Here is a 27,872-nt window from a genome sequence, read left to right on the forward strand (position 1 = left end):
GTAGTGGAAAATCAGCCATAGACAATCTATAAATGAATGAGCATGGCTGTGTTCCGGTAAGACTATTTATGGACACTGAAATTTGAATTGTATATAATTTTGAAATGTCAGAAAATATCCTTCTTTTGTTCTTTTTTTCTAATCATTTAAAAATGTAAAAAACTATTCACAGGCCAAACAAAAACAGGCAGTGGTCCAAATTAGACTTGCAAACTGTACTTTGTCAATCTCTGGTTTTACTGATTTCTTAAATATATCTTAGGTTAAAACTTATTTTTCCATACTTGATAGGGAGCAACAATGTGAATTAAACTGTAGAAACAAATAATTCAGAAATACATCTGTTTAGCTTTAGAAACTTCCATTTTGCTTCATTTTTGTTTTCCTGGGAACCTTATATTTCCATTATATGTTTATGATGCTACCATTTAAATGACTTTGCATTCTCTTAGCATATGCCACATGATAGTGTTAGGGTGGTGTAATAGTTCAGGAGCAAAGCTGAGCAAAGCCCACCCACGTTTAAAAATTTGCCATTATTTAGAAGGTGCATAATTCCCATATGGGAGAATGAAGAGTCATCTAATAATGCCCAGAGGGCTGCACTGTGAGTGAGAATTGTGTTGCAGTTTTTAACATTCATAACACATTTCTTGAATAAGCTGCAAATGCTTTTAATAATATATCTCAGAGTTAATTTTAGCTATGCTACATTGGCACTTTTTGCTCCTCCACTTCAAAAAACCAACACAAGAAACTATTCTCAAATCAAGCTGTGATTTGGATGGGGCATTGTATTTTCCTCAATAAGCACAAAGAAGAGAGAAAAGATGTTTTCACTTGGCAAAACTTTTTTTTTTGAGATGGAATCTCACTCTGTTGCCCAGGCTGGAGTGTAGTGGCACAATCTCGTCGGCTCACTGCAACCTCCGCCTCCCGGGTTCAAGCAATTCTCATGCCTCAGCCTCCCGAGTAGCTGGGATTACAAGCGTGCACCACCACCCTGGCTAATTTTTGTATTTTTAGTAGAGCCAGGGTTTCACCATGTTGGCCGGGCTATTCTCAAACTCCTGACCTCAGATGGTCCTCACACCTCAGCCTCCCAAAGTGCTGGAATTACAGGTGTGAGCCACTGTGCCCAGCCCACTTGCAAAACTTTTTAACATTTATAAGGTTTTTTACATACTTGATTTTGTTCAGTTCTTAGAATAATCTCATGATGTAGGTGACCTTATTAACTATTTACAATGTGAGAAAATGGATAGTCAGTGAAGATAAGTAACTTGTCCAAGGTCACAGCACCAGAACTCCAAACCAGACCTTCTGACCTTCTTGATACAGACTCCTCACAGTCACCTGCATGCCATCTTTGGTTTCAGTGCTATGAACTTTCTTCACTGCCTGTTGGTCTGTAGCTACACCTACTCATGAAGATGCCCAGAGCCTTAGCCGCTCCTTGCTCTGCCATGCTTATCTTATGCAGCTCTGGGAGGGGTGAAGAGGCTGTGGCCAGTTACCTCACTACCACTATAGCTATTCACCACCCTGTTTTCTCCTTTAGCCATTTTAGCTACTACACAATTCTTCTGGGCATTTTCTGTCTTAGTTCCCTAGTATCTGGCCTTCCTTCTTTTCTCAGTAACTGTGACCCCTGCTAGCTAGCCTTGCCAACCAATGGTTAATGAAAGGTCTTGGATATGACTGTCAAAGACAAAAGCACTCATGACCCCAATGTTTCAGGTCACAATGATTAGGAAAATCAGGACAACAAGGCTTGGGCACAGAAAAGCTGGTTTTTGAGAGGGGGATTTAGAGTTTGGTTTAAATGTGTAATCTTTGAGGTAATGGTGGAACAGCCTACTAGATTCAGTTTTCTAGTCCCTGAAAACTAAAACGAGGAATAAGTTGAATCACATATTTGGGGCACCAGCCAAATATATAGCAGCATTTATAGTTAGAATCAAAGTGTTTGTGTTTCTTAATTTAAATGCTTCTCAGAGATTCCATTTAAACAACTTCATTATGAAAATGGAGACTTACCATGCCTTTTTGATATTGTTCAGAGAAAATTGTCATAAATAATACACACAGTTTGAAATGGTTGTACATCTTATGAATCAAGGGGTGGCATGTAAAAAGGTTCCTCAGTGCCTCAATGTGGAAAATATCATAGAATGTTATTCTTCAATTGATTCCTTCCTTCACTTTGGTGTTTATATGGTATCTTAGATATTTTATGTTATTTAATTATATTTTGTGCCTTTTTATTTGGTTAAAAATGCCTACTTAAATATTAACAGATTTTTAAATATCCCTTTGAACTCTTCCCCATTCCTGTACCTCCTTTCCCTTTTTCTGTTGTAATGTCAGCCACCTGAACATAACCCAGAAAACTAGGTATCAGCCAATTGATGTTTCAGTGGAAATAAGAGAAAGAAGCACTTACTATTTCTCAATGCTTAATTGAGGAAAAGCACATGATACCTTACATATTTTAAATTGGAGGGGATAATAGGGTCAAGTTCATGCATTATATTGTGGACATCTTAATCCTATCAAATGGCTTAGTCAAAATGAGAAAGTTAATGAATTTAAGCAGACAAGTACGAACAGTGCTCTAAAAAAGGTGCTGTTACACCATCCCAACCTGTACACACATGAAAAAAAGCTGGGGTGCATTTTGCGTTTGAATAAGGGTCATGTTGACTGGCCATGGCAGACCCTGCTAGACCATACAGCTGATACTCTGTCACCTGCCAGGACTCAAAAGGACATGGGAGTATGTGGTTAAGTTCTCTAAGGACTCTTTCTTCTAAAGGGAAGCAGTTTTATAGGTGGTCCTTGTAGGTCTGTTGATTCACAATCTCGTGCTTTCTTGATTGGACTGTATTGTTTTACTGTAATTTTTTGGACTTACAAGAAGTCAGGTGTTTTCATGGACTCTTCTCTTTTCCATACAGATGTCCAGAAGGCTTCTTGGGGGAATATTGTCAACATCGAGACCCCTGTGAGAAGAACCGCTGCCAGAATGGTGGGACTTGTGTGGCCCAGGCCATGCTGGGGAAAGCCACGTGCCGATGTGCCTCAGGGTTTACAGGAGAGGACTGCCAGTACTCGACATCTCATCCATGCTTTGTGTCTCGACCTTGCCTGAATGGCGGCACATGCCATATGCTCAGCCGGGATACCTATGAGTGCACCTGTCAAGTCGGGTTTACAGGTAACTAATGAGACCAAAGCCAGTGCTTTCCTACCTTCAGCAGATACCTTTATTTAGCATCTTTTAGATCATGGTATCTGGCTCTTAAATGTCCCCCAGCTCTGGTGCACATTTAACATTATGATAAGGAACTGGGATGTTCCAGACAACTATCCCTAACTTCCTTTTAAGAGTTTCAGGGGGCAGAGAAAGAGAAAGAAAAAGGACCAAATACTTTGACTGCTTAAAGTATATATGTCAGGGCCAGGTGCGGTGGCGTACGCTTGCAATCCCAGCATTTTGGCAGGCCAAGGCAGGAGGATCACTTGAGGCTAGAGGTTTGAGACCAGCCTGGGAAACATAGCAAGACCCCATCTCTACAAAAAAACAAGAATAAAAATAAAACAAAATTAGTCATGTGTGGTGGTGTGCACCTGTAGTCCTAACTACTTGGGAGGCTGAAGTGGAAGAATTGCTTGAGCCCAGGAGTTTGAGGCTGCAGTGAGCTATGATCGCACCACTGCACTCTAGCCTGGGTGACAGAGTGAGACCCTGTCTCAAAAAAAAAAATATGTACACCAGGATGGGGAATCAGAGTTTACTTCACTAAAAGAAATAAGTACACTGTCACCAGAGGAAAAGTTGCTGATGTTATTGACTATTTGCTTTTAGAAATCTCCCTCCCTAGACATTCAGGGCACTGGCTTTTCTGGTTTTCTGAACCCTGTTCCTTTTGCTTCTTCATTACCTTGTTCTTATCCATTAAATGTTTGTGCTCCCTGGAGCACTGTTTTTCGCCCTCTTTTGAGCCACATCACAGCTCTCCCTAGGGAATTTCACTGTCTGTATTCGCCTCCACTGCCACTGTCTTCATTAGCTTGCTGATGAATCTCACCATCATTCCCTTAGCTCCACCCAACCCTGACATTCAGGCTCATGTTTCTAGCTATCCTTTGTATGTTCTCCTTGGAGATATTCTACAGGTACTTTCAGCTCACCTTGTTGACAGAAATACGTAGCAACCATGTACATCCCAAATACCCACGCTAGAAACTCCCTGTCCCTTGTTCTGACCTCATTTCAACTCAGTCACCCAAGCCAACCTCTGAGTTGCCTTTCACCTGTCTATTCCTCCCATTTCCTCTGCTACCCTGTAGCTGAAGGCCATGTTATCTCTCACCTGGGCTTCTGAAGTAGTTTCTGAATACGTTTTCTTGCCTTTATTCTCTCCCCATCTCATTCACCCATGATATTACTACATCTTTGATTATAAATGCAAATATTCTAACAATCTCACCTGCTTACAATGTCTAATATTTTTTCATCATCCGCAGAATAAACTGCAAACTCTTTTACATGACTTCCATAGCTCTCTACAGCCTAGACTTTACATCTTTTTATAGCCTGGCCTCCCCACAAGCATCTAGGCCTAGTCACACCAAATTCTCCTTATTTCCTGAAAATGTTGTACTTATTATTGCTTCCATACAGTTACACACCCTTTTGCCTGGAATGCCCTTTTCTACAACTGGTGATTGTCCAATGTTATTTAAAACTGTGTCTTAGTGACCCTTTCATGATTCCTTTAGGCAAATGGTCTCTAAGTTTTATTAGTTTTATGTATCACATTTTATTGTAATTTTTTTTACACATATCTCACCTGAATAGATTGTGGGTTTTTCTAGGTGGGTCTGAGCTTTATTCAAAAGTGTTTATTAAATTAGATGAGAAAAGGAGGAACATTCTTCATTTTTTCTCCTGCTTTAAGCACTAAACCAAGAGTTCTATAAATGCAATAAGCAAAAAAGTGAAAAATGTACTCAGAAGACTATACTGGATCAGTTAGTGTAGAATACTGTTATATTAATTTTTCATTGTATTAGGGTTCTCTAGAGGGATGGAACTAATGGAATATATATGTATGTATATATATTCCAACCCAAAGTGTCTTGGTGGCAATCTTAATATATATATATTGGCAATCTTTATATATATATAAAGGAGAGTTTGTTAAGTATTAATTCACATGATCACGAGGTCCCACAATAGGCTGTCTGCAGGCTGAGGAGCAAGGAGAGCCAGTCTTGAGTTCCAAAACCGAAGAACTTGGGGTTCGATATTTGAGGGCAGGAAACATCCAGCACGGGAAAAAGATGTAGGCTGGGAGGCTAGGCCAGTCTCGCTTTTTCATGTTTTTCTGCCTGCTTTATATTTGCTGACAGATGATCAAATGGTGTCCATCCAGATTAAGGGTGGGTCTGCCTTCCCCAGCCCACTGACTCAAATGTTAATCTCCTTTGGCAACACCTTCACAGACACACCCAAGATCAATACTTTGTATCCTTCAATTCAATCAAGTTGACACACTCAGTTTTAACCACCACAAATCTACCCCTTGTCAACTTGAACCCATACACATCTCCTGAGATCACACATAATCTTCAAATAAAGACAATAATTAGGTCATAATTACACCTGATGTAGTACAACTATTCTTCGTACATCCGGAAACACACCAGTCCCCAACTGAAACACTCTTACATAAAGTTAACGATACTTAAATGCTGATGTGAAGTCAATAAATCTTATGTCACATGATAAAGGAGAAAGGAAATAAAATGAAGATATTTTCTTAGTACAAGTGTGTGCAAGCACAGACATGTTTTTAATAAAAGAAGGAGGAAATACTGAGGACAATTACAGTCCTCATTTCTGCAGCTGGTCACATGGTAGTAGCTGGTATTGATGACTACCTTCTTCTACCCATTTTGTATTCCTTTTGCCTTCAGCAAACACCTCAGCAGGTTGTGTTTTTTTTTTTCCTGATGGAGAGGCCCAAACCTTCATTCATCCAGGCGGGACCATTTGTAGTCCCGCCTGGATTGGGCTGTTGTAGTTGCCCATTGACCTTAATCACAGGGCATGGTAATACTAAGAGACGCCCTAATGGATCTCCTGTATTCCATGAATACTCTTTCTTACCTCCGTTCTGGAGTAGTAGACTGATTTCATCTTGATAGCCTGGGTCTTGATAGCCTTGATGTCCCAGCCAACACTGTAACGCCTTTCTTAGCCTGTTTACTTAAAGGTAGGAACCCAAAGTGTCCTGGTGGCAATCTTAACTACCAGTTTAATGGAATTGTTGTTGTGTCTTCTGGTGGCAGCGTTCCTCCCTCTGGAACTAAGACCTCTAGGCCAGCAGAACTTAATGTTGCGGGAACAGGAAGCAAACATTTTGCTAGTGGATCACTAGGGGTGATGGTGAGTGGTACCACTTCCATTTCCACCCCTTGATTCCTGGACCTGTGAATCCTGGCTATGGGAGAAACAGTACCACATATTGGACGCTGATTCAGAGCATACACAGCCTTCTTGAGAACTTTGCCCCAACCCTGCAAAGTATTCTCACCTAGTTGGCATTGTAATTGTGACTGCAAAAGGCCATTCCACCGTTCTGCTTCAGGATGTTGGGGAACATGGTAAGACCAGTGAATTCCATGAGCATGAGCCCACTGCTGCACTTCTTTAGCCATAAAGTGAATGCCTTGGTCAGAGGCAATGCTGTGTGGAATACCATGACAGTGGATAAGGCATTCCATGAGTCCGCGGATGGTAGTCTTGGCAGAACCATTGCATGCAGGATAGGCAAACCCATATCCAGAGTAAGTGTTTATTCCAGTAAAGACAAACATCTGCCCTTTTCACAATGGAAGAAGTCCAACATAATCAACCTGCCACCAAGTAGCTGGCTGATCACCCTGAGGAATAGTGCCATATCAAAGGCGCAGTGTTGGTTTCTGCTGCTGGCAAATTGGGCACTCTGCGGTGGCAGTAGCCAGGTCAGCTTTCCACCGGCCCATCTTGTTTTCTGCACTGGGAAGGTGGGGCATGAGCACAAATGTTAGGACCTGAAAGGTGGTGAACTCTGCCTGGGCAGGGCAAAGCCAGAGGAAACTCTGGTGGAGGTCCGTAGCAGTCCTGATGTGCAAATCGGTCATCCAACCTGGGTGTAGGGGCGAAAGACTAATTGAACCATCTAGTAGCTGGTTCCCTCCAAAGTTTCCCTCGGGATAGCTGGCACTCTCGCAAAAACCCCACTCTTGGTACCAATTTACTGTATTAGTCCATTTTCACGCTGCTGATAAAGATATCCCCGAGACCGGGAAGAAAAGAGGTTTAATTGGACTTACAGTTCCATATGGCTGGGGAGGCCTCAGAATTATGGTGGGAGGCAAAAGGCACTTCTTTCATGGTGGTGGCAAGAGAAAATTAGGAAGAAGCAAAAGCAGAACCCCTGAGAAACCCATCAGATCTCATGAGACTTATTCACTATCATGAGAATAGCACAGGAAAGACTGGCCCCCATGATACAGTTACCCCACTGGGTCCCTCCCACAACACATGGGAATTCTGGGAGATACAATTCAAGTTGAGATTTGGGTGGGGACACTACCAAACCATATCATTCATCAAAAGGTGTTGGTGGGGTAGAGGGTAGTTAGGATGATCCATGATCTCCATCATGATGATGATGGTATTGATGATGTAAGTCACTGAAAATATTTGGTGTTATAAGAATAATTTCTTCCTGATTGTCAGTTTTGAGTTGTTTTGCTATTAGGAGGCAAAGTAGGGGGGCATATACCCACTTAAAATATTTTAATTCTGGCTAGTGGAAATGACAGTAATGCCTTCTTCATAATTAAAATGTCACTCTGAAATGGTCCCAAATTAAGAAGGATCTCTTTTTGGTGTGTTCTGCAAGATTCTGATCACCTTTTTTTTTTTTTTTTTTTTTTTTGAGATGGAGTATTGCTTTGTCATCCAGGCTGGAGTGCAGGGCGCAATCTCGGTTCACTGCAAGCTCCACCTCCCGGGTTCACGCCATTCTTCTGCCTCAGCCTCCTGAGTAGCTGGGACTACAGGCACCTACCGCCATGCCCGGCTAATTTTTGTATTTTTAGTAGAGATGGGCTTTCACCTTGTTAGCCAGAATGGTCTGGATCGCCTGACCTCATGATCCACCCGCCTTGGCCTCCCAAAGTGCTGGGATTACAGGTGTGAGCCACCACACCCGGCCGATTCTGATCATCTTTTATACATATGCTATTTTTGTCTATCACTTTAGGAATCATCACAGATCAAGGTCATCCTTTTGGTTTTTGTGATAGCGCTATACCTCAGTCAGCTTACTAGCTCATCTCCACTCAGAGATGAAGAAGCATAGGCAGCAAGTTAGTGCCTATACATAATGTATATGGAAACCAAATTCAGGGTTGATTCTTTCTTTCTTTCTCCCTTTCTTTCTTTCTTTCTTTCTTTCTTTCTTTCTTTCTTTCTTTCTTTCTTTCTTTCTTTCTCTCTCTTTCTCTCTTTCTCTCTCTTTCCCTCTCTCTTTCTGTCTTTCTTTCTTCTCACTCTGTTGCTTAGTACAGTGGCGCAGTCTCGGCTCACTGCAACCTCCACCTCTTGGGTTCGAGTGATTCTTGTGCCTCAGCCTCCCAGGTAGCTGGGATTACAGGTATGTGCTATGAAGCCCGGCAAATTTTTGTAGTTTTAGAAAAGATGGCGTTTCACCATGTTGGCCAGGCTGGTCTCAAACTCCTAACCACAAGTGATCTGCCCACCTCAGCCTCCCAAAGTGCTGGGATTACAGGCATCAGCCACCACTTCCGGCCCAGGGATCTTTCCGTTTCAGTTGTGGGCATCACTCTGAAAATCACACTTGCTAGAAGTGAGCATTTATATCTCTTCTCCACTGTAAATAAGTGCCTCTTAGTGACATGAGTGGAAAGACAAGAAGAATTGCAGTTCCTTCATTTTCTGTCTTAGCTCCCTGAGATGTATATGCTGTGCCTAAATTTGTGTTATAGTTTTCTCCTTTGATTTGACATTCCTTGATAGGCAGAGAGCACTTTTCTGTGCTCATATGTCACATCTCGCATCTTTTTCCCTTATAGAAAAACTCTTGTGTCTCCCATTTACCTTTCTATGAGGTCAGAGATTTAGATACTTTCCTAGACAGTCAACTGGAGTATTAACAAATTCAAGGAGTTCTCGCCATCCCATTACTGGGTATATACCCAAAGAATTATAAATCGTGCTGCTATAAAGACACATGCACACGTATGTTTCTTGCGGCACTATTCACAATAGCAAAGACTTGGAACCAACCCAAATGTCCATCAGTGATAGACTGGATTAAGAAAATGTGGCACATATACACCATGGAATACTATTCAGCCATAAAAAAGGATGAGTTCATGTCCTTTGTAGGGACATGGATGAAGCTGGAAACCATCATTCTCAGCAAACTATTGCAAGGACAAAAAACCAAACACCGCATGTTCTCACTCATAGGTGGGAATTGAACAATGAGAACACTTGGACACAGGAAGGGGAACATCACAAACCGGGGCCTGTCGTGGGGTGGTGGGACGGGGGAGGGATAGCATTAGGAGATGTACCTAATGTAAATGACGAGTTAATGGGTGCAGCACACCAACATGGCACATATATACATATGTAACAAACCTGCATGTTGTGCACGTGTACCCTAGAACTTAAAGTATAATAATAATAATAATAATAATTCAAGGAGTTCTCATCTCTGTAGTTTAAATAATAAGCGACTTAGACTAATGACAACAAAAAGCCAGCCATGTGAATACCAAATTTACTAGTTCTGTGAGGATATTTTTTTCTCTTTCTCTTTCTGCCTCAAAGAATCTGCTTTGCTTCCCCTGGCATCATGATTTAGTTTTCAACCCGTCAGAGTCTTCCTGCTAGTGCTGGTACTTTCCTACTTGAGAAAGTCCACGGAATACCTTCGAGACCTCTGTCCTCCTGATGGCTTCTATTTCATTTGTTATATAGGGACCCAGAGGTCCTTCATCATTTTCAAACACATCAACAGATATTTATAGCAAGGCCACAATTAATAAAATGTTTCCCAGAATATATGTGTGTGTTACATTTAGAGGAAACAGAAGTAGTATTGACTTGTTTCTATCACCAGAGGTCTATTTAGTAACTATATTTTGTGGAAAATATCGATATATTTTATCCATTCAACAGACATGATTTGAGAGCATACCATGGAGACCCAACCCTGCCAGTGTGGCAGGTGGTATAATAGAAGAAAATAGCAAACTTGGTGTATCTGTGTTTGCGCACATGTATGTATGTGAGGGGCACTAAGGATGACTTTACAGAGGTTGGAACTTTAGAGTTGCCAAGATAGGGAGAGTTCACTAGGAAAACAGACGGGAAGTTGATTTTTTTTTTTTTTTTTTTTGAAATGGAGTCTTGCTGTGTTGCCCAGGCTGGAGTGCAGTGGTACAATCTCGGCTCACTGCAACCTCCGCCTCCTGGGTTCAAGTGATTCTTCTGCCTCAGCCTTCCAAGTAGCTGGGATTACAGGTGCGCGCCACCATGCCCAGCTAATTTTTGTATTTTTAGTAGAGACAGGGTTTCACCATATTGGCCGGGCTGGTCTTGAACTCCTTACCTCATGATCTGCCTGCCTCGGCCTCCCAAAGTGCTGGAATTACAGGTGTGAGCCACTGCTCCTGGCCCGGAAGTTGATATTCAAACAGGAGCAGCATATGCAAAGACAGCTCTGAGAGAGTAGATGGATCCAGACTCCTATTGCTGATAGCGTCCTGCAGGATTGGGCTTCAATGTGACTAACCTACAATTGCCTCCAGGTGCTCCACCCACTGAGTCCTTGTGTCTCTGCTGAGGTCCTTGGAGAGTTACTGGAGAGGGCTCTGTGTCAGATGACCTTGAGGAGGCTCTGATTTAGCCTTTAGTAAAATGCAAAGAGTTGAGGTCTTCTCCACGCAAGAGCTCGCTGATGTCAATGAGGTATTGAGGATGGGGCCATCTCCTATTTCTGTGGCCAGTACTGAGTTTTGTTATCCTTCCTTTAGGTAAGGAGTGCCAATGGACCGATGCCTGCCTGTCTCATCCCTGTGCAAATGGAAGTACCTGTACCACTGTGGCCAACCAGTTCTCCTGCAAATGCCTCACAGGCTTCACAGGGCAGAAGTGTGAGACTGATGTCAATGAGTGTGACATTCCAGGACACTGCCAGCATGGTGGCACCTGCCTCAACCTGCCTGGTTCCTACCAGTGCCAGTGCCTTCAGGGCTTCACAGGCCAGTACTGTGACAGCCTGTATGTGCCCTGTGCACCCTCGCCTTGTGTCAATGGAGGCACCTGTCGGCAGACTGGTGACTTCACTTTTGAGTGCAACTGCCTTCCAGGTAAGGAGCTCCCTAGTGTCCCAGGATTAGGGGACAAACCCCTAGCACAGGAGGTAGTGGGTGTGGCTCAATTGCTTTTTTTAGGAAGCGCAAGGAAAAAGGGAAGTGAGAATTTTGTGTGGGGTGGGTTGCTAGTGAGGGAGGAGTTTTATGGGCCCACTGTGGTCCATAAACTGAGCAGGGGATAATTTAGCATGTCAGGGTTTATGATGATGAGTGGCTAGAAAATTGTTTATTGTCCCTTTTGTAGAAACAGTGAGAAGAGGAACAGAGCTCTGGGAAAGAGACAGGGAAGTCTGGAATGGAAAAGAACACGATGAGAATTAGACACTGGAAAATATGTATGTGTGGTTAATAAAGTGCTTTAAACTGAATTGACATTAACAGTAGGTGATCAACTTTACTATGTGCTTGTGCTTTTGCTTTTGATGGAGTAATTCATTGTTTTCTTATCCACCTAAATGCACCCAGCTGCCCTTGATTTTCTCTGGGCTACTGGCCTTCACAACCCTCTCCCATGTACCCTCTCTGACTTTGGGGTAACCCTCCCCTAACTTAAAGCTAGAGAATTCTGAAACTGAGGAGGGGATCCTCTGTTAATCAGTGAGCACTTTTTGATGAGCTGATAGATGATATATGAGAGACTATGCGTGGCACAATACTTTGTTACACTCTTCACTGATACAAGTGTTCTAGAGTGCACACACAACCCAAAGATAGAAATAAAAAGAGGAGCAGTGTCGGGGAGCTTGGGGCCTGGTGTTCCATGGAGAGGGAGAAAGGAACAAGCTTGGCCAATTCATTCAACTCCTTATAAAAATGATGAGGAGGCTGAAAACCAAGAATTTTGATTGGGAACAGAATACAAGCAGCTGAAGCAGATGAATTACTAAGCAACAAAGATCCTGTTTTTATACAAATATCCTTAGTACAAAAACAAAAGAAGGAAAACTGTAGGGGGGAGTAATGTGCTAAGTAAGCAGAATTGCCTCCAAAAGAAGTTGTTCTAGTTACTCTTTCAGAGTGGGAATCTTAGATTCTGGTATTGTGGATATGGTTCACATATAATGGGATTGTGTGTTTTATTTTGGAGGAATTAAAGGTCATAGTTTGGTCCTCAGTATAAAATCAACTGGTAATTTGTTCATTTCATTTGGTAAAAATGTATTGACTGCCTGCTATGTTCTAGGCACCATGCTGTGTATTTGGAATACAGCTATACAAAGCATTGTCACATAATTGAAATGAAAATTTTATATTATTTAAGTCACAAGAACAAGCTATTTAATTATATTACTTTTAGTTTCTCTTTTAATAAAGAATAGATAATGCTATCATTCTAGATACTAAATAAGTATTTTCTTAACATAATATTACTATCCACTTTATCTTGTAGAAGAAATAACTAAAATACATCTGTCTTCACTCCTGTATTTGTTTGCATTTTAAGGATTAAAGACAGAAATAGAAATGTAAACAACTTTATTTTGAAAATATTTCAACACTGCAAATATCTCTGGGTCTGATATTCTAGTAATCTAATTGGCTAGTAATTGATGTTAGTGTGATTTATTGTTGAAGGCTAAATGTGTTTTTCAGTTTCAAGAAAATTGCTTTTAATAATTGCCTAGAACAAGAGGTTGATTTGGCAGCAAGATGTTGACGGGAAGTTAGAGAAGTCAATAAAGGAAGTTTTTAGCTGAGAGAGAGTGATTATTCACTCCCATAGCCTCTGCATTGTTATCCATTAGCCACGATAAGAACCTTAGGGAATTCTGAGAGTGTGTCCAGGAAAGGATCTGTCAAACTAGAATAGTATCTCCTCCTTGAGAAAGGAAATAACCAAGGATTCCGCAGCTGAGAGGCTGCCAGGGCTAGTGAAATAGAGTAAGGAAATCTTGGCTGTCTCTTATTCTCTGGTTGTAGTTTAACGCAAGACACTTATTTACTCACTGATGGTGTGTGTGTGTGTGGGAGGGGAGATTAGCATGAGGGGTGGGAATGGGGAGATTTGATGAAGAGAAAACTAACATTTTTTTGGTGACTCAGGAACTGTGCCAGGTACTTCCATGCTTATTAGCTCAATTACACAAAAATCTTGGGACCAGGTATTATTTTTCAAGTCTTCCCACATGAAGTAACTGAAGTTTGGAGATGTTAAGTGATTCACCCAAAGTTGTACAGCTAATATGTGGTTAGGCTGGGTCCTGAAACCGAGGCAGTTTATTTTCAAAGCCTTTGCTTTGTGCATCTTACTGCGCCACATTGCACTGCACATCTGCTTCCTGAAAGCACTTTGTAGGTGTGTAAAACTTTTCGTTAAATGCTTTAAGCTGTTTGGGTTAAAAATATATGTTCATGTTATAAGAAAACCAAGACACTCCTAATTATAATCAAATAGTACTTGTTACATATCAATATGTGTGTGTGTGTGTGTGTGTGTGTGTGTGGTATATATATATATATCGCATTGTGCAGATGTTTAAAAGTAGTTACATAGACTAGTTCTTGCTTTTCAGGGTCCCATAATCTAAACCAGATGACTTCAGCTTTGGATAAATATATAGAAGGAAATTTAAAGAGAATTCAAAACAATAGATGATGCAGTGACACTGTGAATAAATGTTATTTATACAGTTTGTAAGATTTCATGCTCATTGTTCGTATGTCCCAGGTGGAGTTCAGAAAATATTCAGTTCATTTCCACAAAGGGAAATAGTGCCTAGAGATGGTTTTCTTTTAAAAAGTCCTTTTCATAATGCAGTGCCCTTCCTTCCATTGCCCTTCATTCCATTGCTTCCCATGCTTGTCAAGAGACTAAAATGTTACTTATAGTAATAGTCACTATCTCAATGTAAATAGCACCCTTATTTGATGAGAATTATTATTTCAGTTCTAAAAATGGGGAAACAAAGTCAGCAGGAGGCAAAGTAGCTTGTTAAAGTATTCTGCAACTTTCAAATGGTTGCTTCCACTGCATTTCACGTCTTGGCACTTCTAATTGAGGGTTACTCTAACCACCCTATTTAAAATTGTAACTGTCCCCCACCCCCTTAATTACTAACCCTGGTCTACTTTTTGTTTTCTTTTTCTGTAACTCTTATCTTCTTACTATATAATTTATACTATATAATTTACTTCATTATGTCTATTGTTTATTGTCTGTCTTTTCCAAATTCTACTGCCTCTTACCCTCTCCAGAATGAAAACTAGTATCTTTGTTTTTGTTTACTGATGTAACCCAAACACCTACAAACAGTGCCCAGTATATACTAGGCCCGCAAATATATATTGGCTGACTGACTGTATGGTTTAGTATCATGTCATAGTATTGAGACTGTAACTTTGGTCTTCTCATTTTCTTCTTTGTATTGTGCGTCCTAGACTTAGTTTGGCCTCTCCTTTTGTCCTTGTATACTCTAATACTGGATAAGAATTTTGGAGTCTTTTTCAACTCTGAGTCAGTGAATGCCACATAACTTAGTGACTATATTTAAATGGTTAATTTACAATTTTTTCCCTGCAAAGGATACTGTAGTCACTGTGAGTATTTTAGTATTACTGTAGGACTCAAGAGGGAATTAAAACTACAAAAATGACGCGTCTTGTATGACACAGAAAGAAATGTTTCTTCACAGAGGGAGGAGAAAAATATCTTCAAGAGAGAACTAATAGAATCAAATCAATGAACCATGTCTCATCTTTTTGGATAAGTAACTGTTAGTAATCCAGACACTTCATGAGCTTTCATTATGTAAAGTCTTTAGCAGAAGCTAAAGGAGGGGCACCAACCACAGTAATTTTAACTTAAGAACAAAATGGAGCATGAAAATAAATTATTAAATCATTTACTCCCACTATTTTTGGGTTAGGGCCAATAATGGGGAGAGAAAGAGGTAGACTAGTTTTGTGTTTGTGGCTATTTTAATAGAGTAGCACAAGTAATCAAAAAACAGTAGGCTGTTTTGAATTTACTGGCTGTCCCTTATGAGTTCACAGTTAGATTGGACTGTCCTCAATGTACTTTCTTTTTTTTCTTTCTTTCCCACATCTCTTTATTTCTCTGATTTTGTTTAAACTTCATAAAGAGCTCTCTGATCTTTCCTTTCCAAACAATGAAGGTTTATCCTTTGTAAACTACCTCTGTACTCCACAGGCTGATGATATGTGATATCCCTATATCATTAAAGTAAAGCCTAAGCACATTCTGTGGCTTTTGTGTCTACTCTGTTGTTGCTGAGCTTATGAACTATTAGAAATAACTCCCTCTTGCATTTTCACACATGGGGAATGTGATGTTCTCTTGGGTATTATGCTAATCATATTTTGGCAGGTTTCTCTGGAGCAGATGCAGAAATGATCATACCACTTTCCAGGGTGTATTATTTTAGCTCCTTTGACTTGGGCCCTAAGTCTGTTTTACCTGATGTTCCTGAAAGATGTTCCTGATGTCCTTCACTGTTCTTTCATGCTGGATGTTCTTGCCTATGCTGCCTCCTCAGCTATCACCCTCTCTTCCCCTTTTTAATGTAGAACTCATTCTTAATGATTTGTCAAAGGCACCCTATTTCACTGAAATGCCTTCTATATTCCCTACCCTCCAAGTGGATTGTAGACCTTCTAAGGTCTTTTGACATCTGCATATCTCTAGCACAGCACTTACCACGGTGATTATTTATCTGTTCATCTTTCCAAGTAGACACTCTCATTTTAACTCCCTACCCTAGTCGCCAGCATCCCCAGCATAGTGCCTGTCATAAAATGGTGCCACAATGAAAATTTGAAAAATGAATGAACGTGATAAACATAGATGAGAATCCTATATTCTACAATTTTTTAAATGTACTGAAATTATTCTTTTTGAATCCTCCTATTTATTTCTGTGACTTCTTTGGTGACAAAGTTAGAAAAAAGTGGAGGTCAGTAGGGAGATATGAAGGGACGCAAGTGGAAGCAGTGAGCCTGGGCGGGTGATGGAGTGGGAGATACGTGGCACAGGGGTCAGTGAGTTAATCTGGGCTCATTCAGAGAATGGAAGGTGTGTGCCAAGAAAACTGGTTGGATAGGGATAGGTCAGGGATTCCCTCTTGCATTCTCACACTTGGGGGCATGTGTCATTTTCTTTTCTTTTCTTTTTTTTTTTTTTTTTTTTTTTTGAGACGGAGCATCGCTCTTTCTCCCAGGCTGGAGTGCAATGGTGCTATCTCGGCTCACTGCAACCTCCACCTCCCGGGTTCAAGCTATTCTCATGTCTCAGCCTTCCAAGTAGCTGGGACTACAGGTGCCTGCCACCATGCTCAGCTAATTTTTGTATTTTTAGTAAAGATGGGGTTTCACCATGTTGGTCAGGTTGGCCTCGAACTCCTGATCTCAGGTGATCCACCTGCCTCGGCTTCTCAAAGTGCTGGGATTCCAGGCATGAGCCACCATGCCTGGCCGCATGTGTCATTTTCTTGGGTGTTATACTGATCGTATATTTGCAGGTTTGCTTTTGTGACAGACTTCTTCTGGGGGAAAAAAAGTATCCTTCTATCTTTTTACTTTTGTCCAGTTCCAGGTATCCCTGTTTTTTTCTTCACTCTTCCTTCCTTGTTCATGGGAGTTTTTCTTGAGGACTTCAAGCCCAGCTTCGGAGAATCCTGGTTGTGTCATCTCATCTCCTTTCTGCTCTCTTCTCTACCTAGCCTTTCCACCCTCACACCTCCCGGGGTCTGAAAATGGAAAGATAAGGGTGTTTCCCTGAAAGTTGCTCTTCTGTGTGGGGATGACAGGTTCTAAAGACTCTTTTCTGGTCCCTGCCCTCATTGCCATGATTAATCAGTTAAGTGGCCCGAGGTTTTGTAACAGCACAGTCTTAAAATGCTTCTCCCAAGTTTAATTTCTCTCCATTTGACCTTTTAAGGATGTGAATTGGCTTTAAGCAGTAGACTCCCTTTAGTACGGCGCTGTGAGCCTCTCAGTGAATCTGCTACATCCATTCCACCCACGGGTCTGGAAACTTGTCTGTTTACCTTTCCCTAAAAACCTAAGATATATTTTTAAGAAGTGCCTTGTAACTTTTCATATAGCCTTTCCCCTACTTTGGGTAGACTGTTTCTTACAGGAATTTGGTAGATCTTTCCAAAGAGAATTCTGTATCTCTATTTTTAAAGCATAAATCCTGTCAACTTTGGAGGAGAACTGATTTGGCTTGAGTTTTCTCAGACATGGGAACTTTTGACCTAAGTTTGTATTTTACATTGTTGAAAGGGAACTCCGGGATCCCAGAAAACATATGGACTGCAATTGGGTAAAGTTTCTGTTTCAGTACTTATTCCTACTTACTAGCCGTTTAATCTTGGTCAAGTCAGCCATGTGGCTCTCAACTTCCTCATCTGTAACATAAAAGGATTAGAGCAGACAATCTCTAACAAATGCTATAATACCACTGACAAATAATAATATTAGCTAATATGTGTAAGGCACTGTGTTTAGTGCTTTTTCCCTTAATACAATAGCTTTGAGATATAATTTATATACCATACAATTTACTTCTTAAAAAAGTACACAATTCAGTAATTTTAATAGATAGGAGTAACCATCACCACAGTCAATTCTAGAATATTTTTATACATCAGAAGAAACCCTTTACCCATTATCAATTACTCTCCATTCCTCCTAACTCCCTCCCAGCCCTAGGCAACTACTAGTCTACTTTCTGTCTTTATTTGCCTCTTCTGGACATTTCATACAAATGGAAACATGCAGCATGTAGTAATTTATGACAGCTTCTTTCACTTAGCATGAGGTTTTCAAAGTTCATTGATGTGGTAGCATTTATCAGTACTCTGTGCCTTTTTATGGCTGAATAATATTTTATCATATGGATTTACCACATTTTATCATTTTATTTATCCATCATCAGTTGATTGACATTTGAGTTGCTTCTACTTTTTGAGTATTATCAATAATTCTGTTATGAACATTCTTGTATAATTTTTTGGTAGACATTTATCTTCATATTTCTTGGATATATACCTAGGAGCAGAATTGCTGCGTCAGATGGTAATGCTGTTTAACCTTTTCAGGAACTGTCAGACTGTTCTGAAGTGGGTACATTATTTTACATTCCAACCAGCAGTGTATGAGAATTCCAGTTTATCCACATCCTCATCAACAGTTGTTATTGTCTGTCTTTTTTATTATATTCATCTGTAATGTGAAGTGTTTATCTCATTGTGGTTTTGATTTACATTTCCCTGATGGTTGATGATTTTCAACATCTTTTCATATACTTATTAGTCATTATGTATCTTCTTTGGAGAATGTCTGTTCAGATCCTTTACCTACTTTATAATTGGTTTATCTTTTTAATATTGAACTGTAATAGTTTTAAAAAAATATATCCTAAATACAAGTCTCTTATCAGATAATATGACTTGCAGATATTTTCTGTCATTCTATGTACTGTCTTTTCACATTCTTGATGATATACTTTTCAGCCCAAATGTTTTTAACTTGATGGAATACAATTTATTTTTTCTTTTGTTGCTTGTGCTTTCAGTCATATTTGTGAAAACTTTGCTTATCCCACATTACAAAGATTTACTACTTCTAAGTGATTTATAATTTTACCACCTACCTTTAGGTCTCTGATCCATTTTGAGTTAATTTTTATGTGCAAGGAGGGAGTCTAACTTGATTCTTTTACATGTGGATATTTAGTTGTCCCAGGACCATTTGTTGAATTAAGTGCCCAGAACAAGTACATCTATATATAGAGAAAGTAGATTAGTGGTTGTCAGAGACTGCAAGAAGTGGGGAATTGGAGAGTGACTGCCCATAGGTACAGGCATGCTTTTTGGCATTATGAAAATATTCTGGAATTAGGTAGTGGTGATGGTTGCAGAACTTTTGGAATATGGTAAAAGACACTGAAATATATGCTTAAAAATGGTGATTTTTGTGATATATGAATTATACTATGGAACTAATAATAACAGTAATAAAGCAAGGTGTCTTTCCACATCTCCATGCCTTGTATTTTCATTAAAAAAAAAAAAAAAAAAAAAAAAGCATTTCAGGGCCAGGCTCAGTGGTTTACTCCTGTAATCCCAGCACTTTTGGAGGCCTAGGTGGGAGGATCGCTTGAGGCCAGAAGTTCAAAACCAGCCTGAGCAACATAGCAAGACCTTGTCTCCATGAAAAATAAAAAATTAGCCAGAAATGGTGATGTGTGCCTAGAGTTCCAACTACTTGGAAAGCTGAGGCAAGAGGATCACTTGAGCCTAGGAGTTCAAGGTTGCAGTGATCTATAATCACCACTGCACTCCAGCCTGGGTGACAGAACAAGACCCTGTCTCAAAAAAAAAAAAAAAAAAAAAAAAAGGCATCTCACTTTAATAGTAAGAGGCCAGAATATGATGCTGGCAGCATGTTGTGAGGAAATGTATTAGATGAAAGAAGTTAAATTCCAGTTCTCCTTTTTTCAGAAATGAGGTATAGGGGAGAGAAACACGTACTTGGAAAGAATTGACCCAGCTGAATTGGAAAATGTGGGAAGGGGATGGGGAAGAGGCTGCTCCACCTGAGATCTGGCTCCAGGACTTACAGCAAGGGGAACTTGGGCAAGTTACAGACTGTCTATGCCTCAGTTTCTTTATCAGCAAAACAGAATCATCCCATAAACTATAAGGTCGATGGTATCAGCGGGTCCCCAAACTGACTGCACATCTGAGTCATGTTAACAAACACATTCCAGGCCCCACCTGAGCCCTCTGAATCAGAATCCCTGTAAGGAGGACGATGAACTTGAATTTGCACTGACTTTCCCAGCTGTTTCTTACTCTGATCAACTTGGGGGTAGGACCCATTGAGCTGCATCACATCATTCCAAAGCCAAAACACAACAGCAGGACAAGAATATTTTCAAGGCAGTCTCTAAAGCAGAGGAGAAACTGTTGAGGGAACCTAGAAGTAAAGGAGATCTGGCTTGCTGGGCTCCATTTGAACTTTGAGTACAACAGAGACATGAGCCCTTTGGGACACATGCCTGAGGTAGTGACAGTCCAGCTTTGGAAGAGTGGAAGCCCTAGTTCCAAATTCAAGCATGCTTTGAGTATAAATTAAGTTTACCTCTTTTTGCACAGCAACATGGCCAATCTTTCCTAAGCTGCTCAGCTTACAAGAAAAGGAATCATACTGCTAAGAATTCAAACTTCAGCAGTCATAGGTAAGTAAGGAAGTCTTATAAACCTATTCTAGCCACCTAACCAGAAACTCGAAATTTAGCAGGTTCTTTCAGTTTCAGGACAGTTGTGTTCACTAGATCAGAGGCATTGAGACATGAAGAACAGACCCTTAAAAAGGGAAAGTGTTCCCTTCAGTTTGAGGACATCACTGGAACATTAGGGAAGTGGGAACACAGCTGCTCACTCTACAGTGTGGGTTGCCTTTGTGTCTGGAATGTGTCTGACGTCCTGATCCCTGTGCACATTTCAGGGAGCCTTGGGAGGACCCCGAATCACTGATGGAATTGGGCAGTGCATGGAGATGGCTCAGCAGGATGAGGGTAAATGCAGGGGCAAGTCCAGGTCATACTGAGAGACAATGAGTGGCGCTGATGAGGACAAAGATAAAATCAAAAGTTTGTGCTTCATCTTCAAAAACTCAAGCTGATAACAAACTTGGCCTGATGAGAAATAATAAGTATTTTTCTATTTACATGAGAATTTAATCTCAAAACAGAAATCAGAAAAATATGAAGTCCAGGGCATAAAACCTAAAACTATTGCTCATATTTATTCTTTCTAAATAGAGCAAAGTGTACAATCTTCTCCATAAGACATACATTGTGGTTATAAAAAGGCAAAAGTCTTAGTGAGAATCATTGGTATTCCATAGAAGAGTGAATTAAACACAGCCAAGGGAAGACCCACGTCTCATACTTCTCTTGTATATTCCAAAGTTCCAGGGAAATTCCAGGTGATAGAGGTTATTTCCCATACTGTTAAAGCAAGGTTTCAGACACTTCTGAATTTTGGTCCCAGTACTCTAGAAGGGCACACCTCTGTCCTGGAAAATAATACAGGAATGAATACTCTTCCCGTGACCCATTCTGGTCATTCTTCCAGCATCACAAAAACCAAAAAATGGAAATATGGCCAAATACGTGATTAGCTGTCCCTCATCTTCAGGTTTCTTATCTGTTACTTATAGATAATAGCATTACCTTAAGGATTATGATGAAGATACAATGTCCAAATATAAACACAGTTTTGAGCAAAATGCCTTGTACGAATTGGTCAATGAATAATTACTAAATATGTGAATATTTACTGGATTGTATGGATCCTATGAATAATTACTGAATAATTATTGTGATTGCTTTTATTGGCAGTGCTGAAAACTCATCCCTTTGTGACCTCAAGTAACCCATGACACTTTGTGAACCTGCAGTTTTTTCATTTAGAAACTTGACAGATTTTCATTCTGACACAGAATGTCAGGTCTCCCAGACCCTAGAAAATACATTGACTTAAAGCCTTTGATACATCTCAAAGCAGTATCCTTACAGTGTCACTGGAAGATGGTGCGGGCTGCAGAGAGGGATGCTTTCAAATGGGATTAACCAGTCCTCCTTCCTTCACTTCCACATGAATGCTGGGCAGCCCAGGGTCAACCCACTGCACCCTCAACTCAGGCAAGTCCAGCAGCCAATCTTAGGAGACCTGGGCTACAGAACAGTCTCTCAAGTTCCAGGCTCACAAAACCTAGGTGGGGATGAAAGCTGAGAAAGCGAAGAGGTGGTTCAGGGGATCACTCTTTCCTACTTGTTCCTCTCACCTCAAACTCACCTTCTACTGCACAGCAACACTGAGGATCGCCAACCAACCCTGACCATAACCTTGATCTTGCCATGTTCTGTTAGTGGAATGCAACCCAAAATCAATGGTGTTAGGTCATCTCAACAAAATATATATCAAACCATATTCCATAAGAACTGCTCGTGGCCCTGTTCTTTTCAGTATATGGGAAAACAAAATGGAAACAACAAAATAGCATCAGGTTTACAAAACTTCCCAAGATAGATGGTCACACATGTTTTCAGGAGACCTCTATATAAATGACTTTGATCACTTGATACCTTGAAAAGAGGTCTTGTGGCACTAGAATGACATCTATAAGTGACAAGTATAAAATGTAGTGCTCAGTGACATTAAAAAACAAATCAACCCACATAGAGGAAGAGCTTTGGACGTAGGGATGTCAAACTGGTCTAGAATGTAATGAAAACCCAAGAAGGTGCCCCAGTAAGAAAGAGGAAATCAATCTAACAATGGGATGCAGCAGCAAGAATACTGAGACAGGAAAGAAAATATTTTAAAAAAATGAATTATTCATTCACTTTCTAGTGGATACAGAAAAAACTGCAGAAGACCCAGAGGATATCAGGGCAGGCTAAAAGTTTGATATCTTACACCTGTGGAAAAGCCTTAAGCTCTGTTTTAACTGAGAGCAGGTGGGGTGACTTCATGACTACCATTAAGAAAATATAACCTGTTGGGAAACTGTTTCTGCCTTGATGATGTTGTACAGACAAGAGATAAACAGTGAGGAATATGCTTAGATGTATTGGGAAAGACATGGGTCTGTGGCATTGTCACAAGGGTACACGAATACTGAGAGTGAATGCTGAAGGAATGATCCCCATTGGTGGTGACCCTCAGGTGAAAGTAGGGTGCCTGTGTTTCAGCAAAGCCTGGGCAATTGGAATGCAGAGCTCCTAAGATTCCATGACACCCCCACCTTCTAATTCTGTTATTGCAACTGCAGACGGTTACCTGGCACGCTGGCCACATTCTGCCTCACTCTTATCAGAGTCTGAGCTACTGGCAGTGCTTTCAGCTCTGAGTTGAGGCACCTCGAACCTTGTTTTTGTGGTGAAGGATCCTAAAGTGCTGTGGGGAGTGATCACATTTTTCACAACAGTAAGTTAAGAATTTCAGTTACTGACATCCCTCAGTCCTGATTAAACCGATTTGATTTCACCAGTTTTTAACCCATCATATGTTTGGGTTTCTTCTCCCCAGTCCCTGACTCCACCTCTTCTGCCACAAACGTCAGCATGGTGGTATCAGCCGGCCCTTGGTCCAGTGAGAAGGCAGAGATGAACATTCTAGAAATCAACGAGACATTGCGCCCCCAGCTGGCAGAGAAGAAACAGCAGTTCAGAAACCTCAAAGAGAAATGTTTTCTAACTCAACTGGCCGGCTTCCTGGCCAACCGACAGAAGAAATACAGTAAGATCTATAGGCTCACCATCATGAAAGTGATGAATGATATCCTGTCTTCTCTCTGAGACACTAAATGCTCTCTCCATCAAAAATAATTTCATCCTTCCTGTACTTCTAGGAAAACAGAAATGGGTATTTTAACATTTTGTTAAAGTTGGAAGACAGAGGTGCCAAAGTATTTAGCAACTTTCCATGTTTGCAATCAGATGGGGGTGGAACTAGAGTTAAACTCACAGTTATTGATTTCTAACACAGGCACAGAATGACCTGTTTTCTCCAAGGGGCTCAATCATGTTTTTAAGAATCCTCTCTGTACCATATAAGATCCTGCAGACAAATAACATCTAGTCTGTTGTTCTAAATGTCTAGGACTAGTGAACTTTTATTCAGTTCAAGTTTCTGTTGAGGCCCAACAGGCAAAGCTCTGTTCTAGTGACTCTGAGGGGAACTTGGTGATAGTAGCCAGTACCTGCTCTGAGGGGCTTCAAGGGGAGTCTGCTCCTAATAGAACCTGTGCTATCTATAAGTGACAGCATCAAGAGCAGGGAGTAGGGGCCGTGCAACGTGGCTCACTCCTATAATCTCAGCACTTTGGGAGGCTGAGGCGGGCAGAGCACGAGGTCAGCAGTTTGAGACTAGCCTGGGCAACATGGAGAAACCCCATCTCCACTAAAAATACAAAAAGTAGATGGGCATCGTGGCGGGCAACTGTAATCACCACTAATCGGGAGGCTGAGGCAGAAGAATCCTTTGAACCCAGCAGGCAGATGTTGCAGTGAGCCAAGATTGCACTATTGCACTCCAGCATGGGTGACGGGGCAAGACTCGTCAAAAAACAAACAAACAAAAAGATAAATAAATCAAAAATAAAAATAAAAAGCAGAGAGTACCTTGGTGAGAGTGAAGTCCTGCTTCCTGGTGCACAGGCTCTTGTTCCTAAAGAGGAAAGATCACACCGGAGAATGTGTGGAAGCAGCAGTGCAGTGTGCAAAGCAGGGACCCTCAGCCTGTCTCCTGGGCTCCATCCAAGTTGCTTGTCTTGTCTGTCCCTCAGTTTCCTCATCTGTTCAGAGGGTACTACAATAATACCTACCTCTGTAAATTGCTGCAATGAATTACATGAGGTATTTCCTGTCAATCTCCTTGAACATTAATTGGCACAGTGGAAACACTATCTATTAGTTCTTCATTCTGATGTTTCTAAATTAACACAAACTAATGCTGTTTCTAAATTAACACAACTAATCTAAATCTTAATGCTGCCTCTCATACTAATAAAGTATTTGGGCATATTTCCTTCATGGCCTTATTGTCTTATATCTCACACTTTATGCTTCAGATATGATTCTTAAAACCATATCTGAATATTGATTTAAAAATGAAATATTTTTAAAGTCCTTGACATATTTGTCCTTGAAATACCCAGTAAAAGGGAAACCATCAGTCCCATAGTCCTAGGGGCCTTCCCGACTGTACAAGAAATCACTACTTCATGCCCCAGTGCAGTGTTTTAGAGGAGAGGCTGCAAGACTTGGGAAAGTGGCCCCGCATTCAGAGTCAGACCTCAGGGGCTGTGAGTTCTGACTCCACTTCGTTGTGGTTGAATCATCTTGTCAACTTCCTTGATGCGCCCTTGAGTTTCTCTTTCTTCGTCTTTAAATTTTGGAGGATCAGATGCCAGAAAGTCAGGAGACTGAAGAATAAAGATGTGGAAATCCCTGTCTAGACCCTGGTACTGGGGAGAGTTTTGTCCTTGGGATGGACCTGGCTCCTGCCCTGTAGGCAGTGACCACAGCAGCATGTCCAGCCTTCCACTGAGGCAGGCGTGTCTGTCTTTTCTCAGAGTATGAAGAGTGTAAAGACCTCATAAAATTTATGCTGAGGAATGAGCGACAGTTCAAGGAGGAGAAGCTTGCAGAGCAGCTGAAGCAAGCTGAGGAGCTCAGGTGAGGGGACCCCGTGGGGGGAGGGCAGGCGGGTAGGTGTGTAGATCTCTGAAGTACAGCAGCTCGGCGGGGAGAAATAAGAACGAAGCTGGGCCAGGGGAAGGGCAGAAATTGCCATGACAGGCTCATGACACACAAATATTTATCAGTGAACAAGGATAATAATAAGTTCTGTGTTGCAGTTGTTTCTTAGAGCCTTGTTTTCTCTTTTTCAAACAAGTAATTGTTGAGGTGAAATTTACATAACACAAAATTCACCAAAGGAGTGGGAACCACCCAGCAGCATTCAGTATAATCAAAATGGTGTGCTATCACCACCCCACTTACCCTTAGTGAGAATCACCTCCTGACTGACTGCGTCTTCTCATTCTTTCACTCAATCAATGTTGCCTTCTTGACCCTGTCCTTCTTTTCTTCTTTCATCTTTTCAATTCGCCCCATCTGCACCTGGCCTCATTTCTGTACATGGCTTTGTATTTAGTGGCCGCAAGATGCACTATGTGTATTTTCACATGGAAATGTCCATGGCCAGAGTGAGGAACTGAAAGGATGTCTTTTTGAAACGGAATTAGGAAGACACCTACTTTTGTTTACAGAAGAGAAAGATGAATGGAACATCATCGAGGATCTTGCAGGAGCCCTCTCTGATAGAGGGAAAGCCTGTAGACCATTTTCTATTCTTCCTCTTGGCCACAGTCATTCCTTTCAACATGTGCTGACCTTCTGCTTGGAGGTCTCCTTGAGGACATTGTCTCAGAAGTCTCTGTTGCAATATTTGAACGGATCACTCAACCCTTTCTACTCTTAAATTTTCTCTACCGTCTCACCTTAGGCAATATAAAGTCCTGTTTCACTCTCAGGAACGAGAGCTGACCCAGTTAAGGGAGAAGTTACGGGAAGGGAGAGATGCCTCCCGCTCATTGAATGAGCATCTCCAGGCCCTCCTCACTCCGGATGAGCCGGACAAGTCCCAGGGGCAGGACCTCCAAGAACAGCTGGCTGAGGGGTGTAGACTGGCACAGCACCTTGTCCAAAAGCTCAGCCCAGGTAAGGTGGCCATAGGCCCTGATGACCCAAAACCCCAGGCTTATGAGAGGCTCCAGACCTCCATACTTTCACAATGACAGTTATATCAGTGGGGTTTTTTTCTACTACACCTATGTGGCCATGACATGATCAGGACTTCCTGGGTAAGAACAGAGATGGGAAACCCATGGGTTTGGAGGTCACAGTATTGCAAGTGTCCCTCCTTCCTTGATGGAAGGTGGTCTTTGGAGCAAGAGGCAGCATCTATCTAGTTTTAAAGGACAGGAAGGAGGCTGTGATGGAAGGGCGCTTGTTGGAGTGAAAAGAGCTCTGGGCTAAGAATGAAGGTTCCCAGGCTGTATTTTTGGCAGTGTTCTTAGTAAGTGTCAGTGAGTGATTTATCTTTTCAGAGTTTCTCTCTCTCCATCTGCAAAGGCAGACAAATTGTCTCTTGCAAGGGTCTGAAGCATCCAAATATGGGAACACTTACGAATGCTTTTCAAAATGAGATGAAGCCCCTCTCCATGTGGTGTTGGAGAAGGCACTTGATGTGGGGGCATTTGGTGGTAGGAAGTGCTTCAGACTGGAGCACTCCCCATGGATAGAATGTCCCTGAATAACACAGCAGAAGCCACATGGAGGGCCTGTGCAGTCTCATGACGCATAGAGGACTGTGGGACAAGTTTGTCCTCTCCTAAGAGAAAGAATGAGGTTTGAAATGCAAACCGTGACAGGACACCAAGCCTGTGCCTGGGAATCAGATCTGGCAGGATGGGGGAGACAGCTGCCAACGTCCAGAGAGAGGCTGCACAAGCCTCCAGTGATATGGGAAGCAAAAGGTCTTTTCAATATTTGGCCACATCTTGATGGTGGCCCTCCAGATCAGAAATGCATTGCCTGATGGATCAGGAAACCATGGCAGGGCATTCTGTTAAAGATAAAACATGAGAGTTTTCAGTTGAACGGTGACCCATGCCTAGATGTTCATGTCTCTGTTGCACATTGGGCTGACTGTGCTTGCAGACTGTGAAGTGGGAAATATCTGAACGAACACTTCTGTATTTACAGAAAATGACAACGATGACGATGAAGATGTTCAAGTTGAGGTGGCTGAGAAAGTGCAGAAATCGTCTGCCCCCAGGTAACACTGAATACT

At 41.3% G+C, this 27,872-nt stretch overlaps 2 protein-coding genes across 3 annotated transcripts in view; both read left to right on the plus strand.

Moving 5' to 3' along the window:
* NOTCH2NLC (notch 2 N-terminal like C) overlaps positions 1 to 19,476 on the plus strand; it is an 81,213-nt gene extending 61,737 nt beyond the window's left edge. For both annotated transcript variants that reach the window (NM_001364012.2, NM_001364013.2), the window contains exons 3-5: positions 2,961 to 3,220; positions 11,134 to 11,469; positions 11,720 to 19,476. In NM_001364012.2, the coding sequence (NP_001350941.1) occupies positions 2,961 to 3,220; positions 11,134 to 11,469; positions 11,720 to 11,796 (673 nt within the window). In that variant the 3' untranslated portion in view covers positions 11,797 to 19,476. The remainder of the gene's footprint in view (positions 1 to 2,960; positions 3,221 to 11,133; positions 11,470 to 11,719) is intronic.
* Positions 19,477 to 22,687: 3,211 nt separating this feature from the next.
* NBPF19 (NBPF member 19) overlaps positions 22,688 to 27,872 on the plus strand; it is an 81,317-nt gene continuing 76,132 nt past the window's right edge. The window contains exons 1-5 of the mRNA NM_001351365.2: positions 22,688 to 23,438; positions 23,541 to 23,750; positions 25,588 to 25,690; positions 26,523 to 26,737; positions 27,785 to 27,857. Of these exons, the coding sequence (NP_001338294.1) occupies positions 23,576 to 23,750; positions 25,588 to 25,690; positions 26,523 to 26,737; positions 27,785 to 27,857 (566 nt within the window). The 5' untranslated portion in view covers positions 22,688 to 23,438; positions 23,541 to 23,575. The remainder of the gene's footprint in view (positions 23,439 to 23,540; positions 23,751 to 25,587; positions 25,691 to 26,522; positions 26,738 to 27,784; positions 27,858 to 27,872) is intronic.

The sequence above is a fragment of the Homo sapiens genome, chromosome 1 (genome assembly GCF_000001405.40).
Source record: "Homo sapiens chromosome 1, GRCh38.p14 Primary Assembly".
In the NCBI taxonomy this organism is placed as follows: domain Eukaryota; kingdom Metazoa; phylum Chordata; class Mammalia; order Primates; family Hominidae; genus Homo; species Homo sapiens.